This window comes from Homo sapiens, chromosome 20 (genome assembly GCF_000001405.40).
Source record: "Homo sapiens chromosome 20, GRCh38.p14 Primary Assembly".
Taxonomy (NCBI): domain Eukaryota; kingdom Metazoa; phylum Chordata; class Mammalia; order Primates; family Hominidae; genus Homo; species Homo sapiens.
In genome coordinates, this window is record NC_000020.11 from 58,729,260 (window position 1) to 58,739,505 (window position 10,246).

The following is a 10,246-nucleotide window of genomic DNA, read 5'->3' on the forward strand; positions in this document are numbered from 1 at the left end:
AGCATTATGGGGTTTCCAAGGGATAGGGGAAGGGACACTAAAGAGTTCATGTTTAACAGGGACAGGTTTAGTTTTACATCATGGAAAAGAGTTCTGTGGTTGGATGGTGGTGATGGTAGCACACCATGTGAATGTACTTACTACCACTGAATTGTACAGTTAAAAATGGTTAAGATACATTTTATATGTTCATTGTACCACCATTTTGAAAAATTTCAAAAGTCAGGTTTAAATGGGAAGTCTAGAGCTAAAACATTGCAATATCTCACATGAAAAATTCACTAAATGTACTTAACAACATAGCAGAGACAGCAAAAGAGAGGGTCAGTAGACTTAAAACAGGTAAATAGCATAACACAGAAAAGAAAGATGAAGGAGAATGAATCGAGTTCCAGTGACCTTTCAGACAATATAAATCAGCTACATACACACACACACACACACACACACACACACACACACATATATATATATTTAGAGGGAGAGGATGGAACTGAAAGACTATTTGAAGAAAAATAGCCAAAAATTCCCCAAATTTGGTAGAAAAAAAATCAATTAAGATCCAGAATGACCAGCAAAAACACAAGCAAGATGAATGTAAAGAAAACCATGAAAAGAAGGTCATAATCATGTTGCTGAAAACCCAAGACAAAAAAAAGTTTCAAAAGCAGAGATAAAAGACGTTACAATCAAGGGTGACAGTACAAATGACACCGACTTTTCTCAGGAACAATGAAGATTAGGAGATAAGAGAACAACATCTTCAAATTTCTGCATTAGGAAAAAAATTTGCAAACCTCTCAACTCAGAATTCTATAGGCAGCAAAAATATCTTGGCTGGGCGCAGTGGCTCACGCCCATAATCCCAGCACTTTGGGAGGCCAAGGCGGGTGGATCACCTGAGGTCAGGAGTTCAAGACCAGTCTGGCCAACATGGTGAAACCTCGTCTCTACTAAAAATACAAAAATTACCTGGGCGTGGTGGTGGCCGCCCGTAATCCCAGCTACTCAAGAGGCTGAGCTAGGAGAATCGCTTGAATCCAAAAGGCAGAGGTTGCTTTGAACCAAGATCATACCATTGCACTCCAGCCTGGGCAACAAGAGCGAAACTCGGTCTCAAACAAACAAACAAACAAAAAATACATCTTTAAAAATGAGGATGAAATAGTGACATTTGCTTTTATTTTTTTCTTTTCTTTTTTTTGAGATGGAGCCTTCCTCTGTCACCCAGGCTGGAGTGCAGTGGCGCAATCTTGGCTCACTGCAACTTCCACTTCCCAGGTTCAAGTGATTCTCCTGCCTCAGCTTCCTGAGTAGCTGGGATTACAGGCGCACACCACATTTTCTTTTTTTCTTTTTTTGAGATGGAGTCTCCCTCAGTCACCAGGCTGGAGTGCAGTGGCGTGACCTCAGCTCACTGCAATCTTCACCTCCCAGGTTCAAGCAATTCTCCTGCCTCAGCCTCCCAAGTAGCTGGGACTACAGGAGTGTGCCCCCACACCCAGCTAATTTTTGTATTTTTTTGGTAGAGGCGCGATTTCACCATGTTGGCCATGATTGTCTCGATCTCCTGACCTCGTGATCTGCCTGCCTTGGCCTCCCAAAGTGCTGGGATTACAGGCATGAGCCACCGCGCCCAGCCAATAGTGACATTTTCAAATGTTGAAAACAGTAACAATAGGAACAACAAAAAACTGAGAATTTATTACTAGTAGACTTGCCCCACAAGATCTTCTAAAGCAGGGTGTCCAATCTTTTGGCTTCCCTGGGCCACAACGGAAGAATTGTCTTGGGCCACGCATAAAATATACTCACACTAATGATAGCTGATGAGCTAAAAAAAAAAAAAAATCACAAAAAAACTCATAATGTTTTAAGAAAGTGTATGAATTTCTGTTGAGCCGCACTCTAAGCTGTCCTGGGCTGCATGCAGCCCACAGGCCACGGGTTGGACAGGCTCATTCTAAAGGATGTTGTGACTGAAGGTAAATGACAGCAGATAGAACTCAGATCTAAAGGAAGAAATAAAAAGCAACTAAAATGGTAAAACATGGATTATTTAAAATAATTTTTTTTGAATTTTCTTAGAAGACAACTGACTGCTTAACCAAAAATTATGACATCATATGGCAAGGTGTATGACGTGTATATGTAAAGCATATAGCAACAAAGAACAAAGGATGATGTGAGAGGGGATAAGTGGAACTATATTGTTGTAATGTTTATATATTTTAGATGAAGTACAGTATCAAATACTCTTATTCAGAAATTATCAGCACCCTGGCTTCTCTAAACTCCAGACTCTCTGTTCAACTCATAGAGTCCACTGAATTTCGCATACCCACTCCCTGTGCTGTGGGGTAGAAAAATCTTTTCAGGCGCAAAAAGAGGAAAAAGGAAATAAGAAACAAATGAAACATATAAAAATATATAACAAGATAATAAATTTAAATTCAACCATATTACAATAAATGTAAATAGTGTAAACACACCAGTTAAAAGTAAGAGATGATAAGCTTGGATATAGAAAAAATACCCAACTCTAAGCTGTTTACAAGAAATCCACTTCAAAAGCTGAAAGTAAGAAATAGTAAAAGGATGGAAAAAGGCATATGCTAACACTTATCAAAAGAAATCTGGAGTTGCTGTGTTAGTATAAAGATAATGGGGATTTAAGGGCAGGAAATATTACAAGGAAAAGGAGGATAATTTTAGAGTCATAAAAAGGACCATTCCTGAAGAAGACCAAATCATCCTAAATTTATACACCAAATAATAGAGCTTCAAAATACATGAAGCAGAAACTGGCAGATTTCAAAAGAGAAATAGACAAATTCACAGTTAGTTGGAGTTCTTGAAACCTTTCGATAAAACAGGTAGACAGTAAATATACGGAAGACTTGAACAACGACAGCAGAATACACATTATTTTCAAGGGCACATAAAACATTCACTAAGATCATGTTCAGCATCATAAAACAACTCTCAATAAATTTATTAATTTGTTTGTTTGCTTTTATTTGTAGAGATGTGTTGCTATGTTGCCCAGGCTTGTCTGAAACTCCTGGCCTCAATTGATCCTCCCACCTCAGCCTCCCAAAGTGCTGGGATTACAGGTGTGAGCCACCATGTCCAGCCTCTCAATAAATTTAAAAGAACTGAAATTGTACAAATAATATTCTTTGACCATAATGAAATGAAATTAAAAATTAGTAGCAAAAATCTCTGGAAACTCACTAAATGTGTAGAAACTAAAGAGCATTCTTTAAAAAAAAATTCCATGGGTTAAGGTAGAAATTACAAGAATAAGTATAAAATATTTGTACTAAATAAAAATTAATGCAAGACTTAAATTAGTGGTAGGCAGCTAAAGCTTAGAAGAAAATGTCAAACATTAGATGATTAACATTAGAAAAGTAGAAAGAACCCAAATCAATGATCTAAACTTCTACCTTAATAAACTAGAAAAAAAGGACAAATTAAACCCAAAGTACAAGAGAAAATAGAGAAAAGATTATAGAGAAATCAATCAAAACAAAACTTATTTTATTTTTTAAGATGGAGTCTCACTCTGTTGCGAGGCTAGAGTGCAGTGGCATGATCTCAGCTCACTGCAAACCCTGCCCCCCTGGGTTCAAGTGATTTTTGTGTCTCAGCCTCCTGAGTAGCTGGGATTACAGGCACCTGCCACCACACCTGGCTAATTTTTGTATTTTTAGTAGAGATGGGGTTTCACCATGTTGGCCAGGCTGGTTTTGAACTCCCGACCTCAAAGTGATCTGCCCGCCTTGGCCTCCCAAACTGCTGGGATTACAGGCATGGGCCACCATGTCTGGCTGCAAAAGCTTTTTTTTTGAGAATATCAATAAAATTGATAAGCCTCTGACCAGATTCATCAGAGAGGAAACAAGAAAGATATAAATTAGCAATAAGAGAATTAGAGATGATTACTACAAATCATATAGGAATGAAAAGGATAATAAGCGAATATTATGAACACCTTTTTGTCAATAAATTTAGCAACAGGTCAGATGAACAAATATCTTAAAAGACACAAAGAATAAAAACTCACTCAGGATGAAATATATAACCTGAATAACAATATAACTACTAAATAAATTGAATTTAAATTTGAATTTGAATGAATTGAAGCTGATTTTGTACTTTAAAGCCTTCTCACAAAGACAACCCCAGGGCCAGATGACTTTGCTGGTGAATTCTACCAAATATTTAAGAAATAATATCAATTCCATGCTAATTCTTCCAGAAAACAGAAGAGGAAGTTCCACTTTCAAACTCTTTTATGAAGCTAGCTTTGCTCTGAGACATACACATCACAAGAATAGAAAACTACAGAACAAGATCCCTCATAAATACAGGTGCAAAAATTATCAATGTACTTACAAATTGTAAAAACAAAAATAAAATAGATGTATTTATAAATATATATTTATATATAAATTAAATATATATGTGTATTGAAATATGTATGTATAATGTGTGTGTATATATATAAAAGACATATATATATATATATATACATGAGATACCTCATGACCAAGTGGAGTTTATCCTGGGAATTCAAAAGGGCTGGTTTATTGTTGGAAAATCAGTGAAATGCATATATCAATGACACACAATCACCTCAACATGTGTGAAAAAGTCCTTTGACAAAATTTAATGTTCATTCACAATTTTTTAAATTCTTGGCAAATTAGGAATAGAAGGAAACTTCCTTAACCCAATAATGAGCAACTACAAAAATCTTCAGCTAATATTATGGTTTATGGTAAATTACGGAATGCTTTCTTCTTAAGATTAAGAGCAAGGCAAGGATGTACACTCTCACCATCTTATTCAACAGAGTCCAAGAAGTCCCAGCTACTGTAATAAAGCAAAAACAAAACAGAAAAAAACAAAACAGGCCTATGCTATAAGTATCAGCTTAACAAAATATGTGCATGATCTCTATGCTGAAAATTATAAAATGCTGAGGAAATAAAAGACCTAACTAAATGGCGAGACATATCATATTCATGGATTGGAAAATTCAATATAATAAAGATGCAAATTCACCTCAAATAGGTCTTTAGGTTTAATATAATTTCTATCAAAATTCTAAGTTTTAAAATACACATAGACAAGCTTATTCTAAAATTTATATGGCATTTTGGGAGGCCGAGGCGGGTGGATCACTGGAGGTCAGGAGTTTGAAATCAGCCTGGCTAACATGGTGAAACCCCATATCTACTAAAAATACAAAATAATTAGCCAGGCATGGTGGTGGGCACCTATAATCCCAGCTACTCGGGAGGCTGAGGCAGGAGAATCACTTGAACCCGGGAGGCAGAGGTTGCAGTGAGTCAAGATCGTGCCACTGCACTCCAGCCTGGGAGACAGAGCAAGACTCCATCTCAAAATAAATAAATAAAATAAAATAAAATATATATGGAAAGACACCACCCAAGGATAGCTAAAACAACAAAGACCAATAAAATGAGAGGACACACTCTGATATTTAAGGTTTACACTTTAGCTACAGTAATCAAGACAGTACGGTACTGGTGGAGGGAACCACATCAATGAATGGAATAGATTAGAGAACCCAGAAACAGACCCCACACAAATATGCTCAAAACTGATATTTAACAAAGGTACAAAGGCTATTCAACAGAAGAAGGATCATCTTTTCAACAAATGGTATTGGAGTAACTGGATATCCATAGGCAAGAAAATGAATATCTACCTAAATCCCACACTTTACACAACACTAACTCAAAATGATTATGGAGTTATTATTGAACTATAAACTTTTAGAAAAAGACATGGGAGAGAATCTTCAGGATCTAGGGCTAGACAAAGAATTCTTAAACTTAATACCAAAAGCATGATCCATAAAAAGAAAAATGGATAAATTGAACCTCATCAAAATTTAAAATCTTTGTTTTACCAAAGGCCATGCTAAGAGAATGAAAAGATATGGACTGTAAAAAAATATTTGCAAGCCATATGTTCAACAAAAAATAAACTAGTATCTGAAATACATAAAGAATTCTCAAAACTAAACAGCAAAAAGCAAACAACCGAATTGAAATCTGGGCCAAAGACATGCACAGAGATTTCACTGAAGAGGATATACAGAGAACAAATAAACACATGGAAAGTTGTTTAACATCATTAGCCATTAAGGAAATGCAAATTAAACCCACAATGAGATATCACTAACACACCTAGCAGAATGACTAAAATAAAAAATAGCAATAACACGATTATCACTATTTACAGAGAAAATAGATCACTCTGTATTGATAGTGGAAATATAAAATGGTACAGCCAATCTGGAAAACAGTTTGGTAGTTTCTTGTGAGATTAAACACGCAATATGACCCAGCAGCTGAACACAAATGGAAATGTATGTTCATGAAAAAACCTGTATGCATATGTTCATAGCAGCCTCATTTGTAACAACCAAAAAAGAAACAACCCAGATGAACTTCAGTGGGTAAATGGTTGGACAAACTGTGATACATCCATAACATGGAATACTTCTCAACAATGGAAAGGAACGAAGCATTGATTTATGCAACAACTTGGATGGATCACAAGATAATTATGCTGAGTGGATTTCATCAAAATTAAAGAGTTTTGTTCTTCAAAAGAAACTGTTAAGAGAAGGACAAATATCACATGGTCTTACTTTTATGTGGAATCAGAACAAGTTGAACTCAAACAAGTAGAGAGTAGAATGGTGGATACAAGAGAGCAGAGCGGGAGAAGTCACTGGGGAAGGGAGAGATGTTAGTGAAAGGGTACAAAGTTTCATTTGAGAGGAATAAGTTCCAGTGATCTATTGCATAGCACAGTGACTATAGTTAATAATTTATATTTCAAAATTACTAAAAGAGTAAATTTTAAATGTTCTCACCATAAAGTGATGATAAGTATGTGAGGTGTTGGATATGTTAATCAGCCTGATTTAATCATTCCATAATGTGTACATGTATCAAAACATCACATTTGACCCCATAAATATATACAATTATTATTTGTCAATTAAAAATAAAATTAAATTCTTTTAAAAAGACCAAAAGGCTGGGCATGGTGGCTCACACCTGTAATTCCAGCACCTTGGGTGGCTAGGAGGTCAAGGCTGAAGTGGGTCATGATTGTGCCACTGCACTCCAGCCTGGGCAACAGAGCAAGACCCTGTCTCAAAAAAAAAAAAAAAAAAAAAAGAGAGAGAGAGAAAAGAAAGAATAGCACCCTGTTTCCCCCAAAAAGCACTGTTAAGAAAAGGCAAAGGCAATCCACAATTTGGGAGAAAATATTTGCAAAACATAATTGACAAACACTTTTATTCATAATAAAGACCTCTTACAATTCATTAATAAGAAAACAGGCACCCACTTTAAAATGTCCTAAAGATTTCAGAAGACGCTTCACTAAAAACATATGTAGATGGCAAATGAGCACATAAAAAGATGCTCAGCATCATTTGTCAGTAGGTAATTGCAAATTAAAACTGTAACCTAATACTATTACACACCCATTGGAATAGCTACAAATTTTTTAACTGGCCATAAAATATTGGAGAAGATGTAGAGCAATTGGGACTCTTCTACACTGTTGTAAGAATGTAAAATTATACAACTGCTTTGGTAAACAGTTGAATCTTTTTTTTTTTTTTTTTTAAGTTAACCAAGACCTATCACAAAATCCAGTCATTCTACTTCTAGGCATTTATGCAAGACAAATGAAAGCCTTATCCCTATAAAGGCTTACTACACCTGAACGTTTACATCAGTTTTATTTTTCATGGACAAAAACTGGAAACAACGCCAATGTCCATCACCATGTGATAAAGAAACAAATTTTGATATTTATTTATTTTTTTCATGAAGCAATATGACCTAAAATTTTGGTATTTCTTAAGAAGCCAGATTAAATAATATAGCACAGACTATGTAGATTTATCTATATAAATTTCTAGAAAATGCAAATGAATCTATAGTTACAGAGAGAAAATGGCTGCATGGGGACGGAGGTGGAGAGAGAAAGGAATTATAGTAAGACATGAATCAACTTTTATATGTGATGAAAATATTATCTTGATGATGGTGATATTTTCACAGATGTCAGCATTCACAGTATGTCAGCATTTATCAAATTATATACTTTACATATGTGCAGTTTATTGTATGCCAAGTATACCTTGATAAATCTCTTTTAAAATTCCTAGAAGGATTGATCAGGAAAAAAGGGGAAACCCCACAAATTGCCAGTATCAGAAATAAAGGAGGGGTATCATTATAGATCCTACAGACATCAAAAGGATCATAAAATATATTATGAGAGATTCTATGCCAATAAATTCAACTACTTATATGAAGTGGGAAAATTCTTTGAAAACACAATTTACCCAAACTGACACAACTTGGAAAAGATACTCAGATTGTTCCAGTATCTATTAAAATTGAATTTGTTTTTAAATCCTTTCCACAAGGAAATTTCAGCCCAGAGTGTTTTACTGGTAAATACTATCAAACACTCAAAGAAGAAATAATACAACTCTTACATAAACTCTTTCAGAAAATGGAGAAGAAAATTGTTCTCAAATCATCTTAGAAAGTTAGTATAATCTAGATACCAAAACCTGAAAAAGACATTATAAGAAAATTATAGACCAATGTGCCTCATGAAGCAGACACAAAAAATCCCTAAGATAACATTAGCAAATTGAAGTCAGTGATATACAAAATAATAATACATCATTATTAAGTGTTTTTTCCAAGGAACAGTTAAAAATCAACCAATATAACTCACCATATTAACAAAATAAGCAGGCAAAACAATATGTTCATTTCAAAAAATACAGAAAAAGTGTCTGACAAAATTCAGTGCCCACTTATGACAAATTCTCAGCAAACTTGGACAAGAAGAGAACTTTTTCAAAAGGATAAGGGACATCTATGAAAATTCTAGTAAACATCATATTTATTGCTGAAACATGAAAGGCTTTTCTCCTAAGATTGGGAACACGGTAAGGATGCCTGAACTCACCATTCCTCTTCACCAATGCACTGAAAGTCTAGCTAGTGCAATAAGGCAAGAAAAATAAGAAGCATATAGACTGAGAAAAAAGAATAATCCTCCCTATACTTAAAAATGACTGCCTACGTGAAAAAAAAAGTTAAAGAATGTACAACAATAACGATTAGAACTAATAGGCACATTAAGCAAGGTAATAGGATACAAACTACATATATGAAATTACATTTTTAATTTTAGCAGCAAGTAATTAGAAATGAAATTTTAAAACAATTCCATTTATAGTAGTATCAAAGCCCATAAAATATTTAGGAATAACTTTAAATATGTACAAGCCTTATATGTAGAAAAGTAGAACATATTTCTCAGAGAAATTAAAAACCTGAATAAATGGATAAAAACCACATGTATGCCTTAGAGACTCAATATTGTTTAGATGCAAATTCTTCCCAGACTGAACAGATTTCTCTAGCTTCAACACAATTCTAATCCAAATATGAATAGAATTTTTAAATAAAATTGACAAATTGTTTCTAAGATTTAAATGGAAATGCAAAAGGCTTAGAATAGTTAAAAAGAAAAAATACTCAACCTTTAAAATAAACAACCAAGTTGGAGAACTTGAACTTACTGGTTTAAAAATATATCAGAAGCTACAGTAATCAAGGTGGCGTGGAACTGATGGAATCATAGACAGATCAATGGATCATAATAGATAATCCAAATATAGACTTAGACATACTCAGTTAACTGATTTTTTACAGAAGTATCACGCCAAGTGAGGAAAAAAAGCATCTTTTCAGCAAATGGGCTAGAAAAACTAGGAACATATATAGAGGAAAGAGTCTTGACTCCTACTTCACATTACACAGAAAAATTAATTTGAGATGGATGGATCATAGACCTAACATAAGAGCTAGAACTCTAAAGCTCCTTGCAGAATACATGGGAAAATATCTTCATGGACGTGAGGTAAGCAAAGATTTCTTAGACCCCAAAAGCACTGATCACAAAAAGAAATACTAACAAATTGGCCTCATCAAAATAAAAAACTTCTGCTTATCAAAAGTCAACATTAAGAATATGAAAAGGCAAGCCACAGATTGGGAGAAAATATTTGCAATACATATGTCTGACAAAGAATTTATACCCAGAATATTTAAAGAGCCCCTACAGTTCAATAATAAAACAACATAAA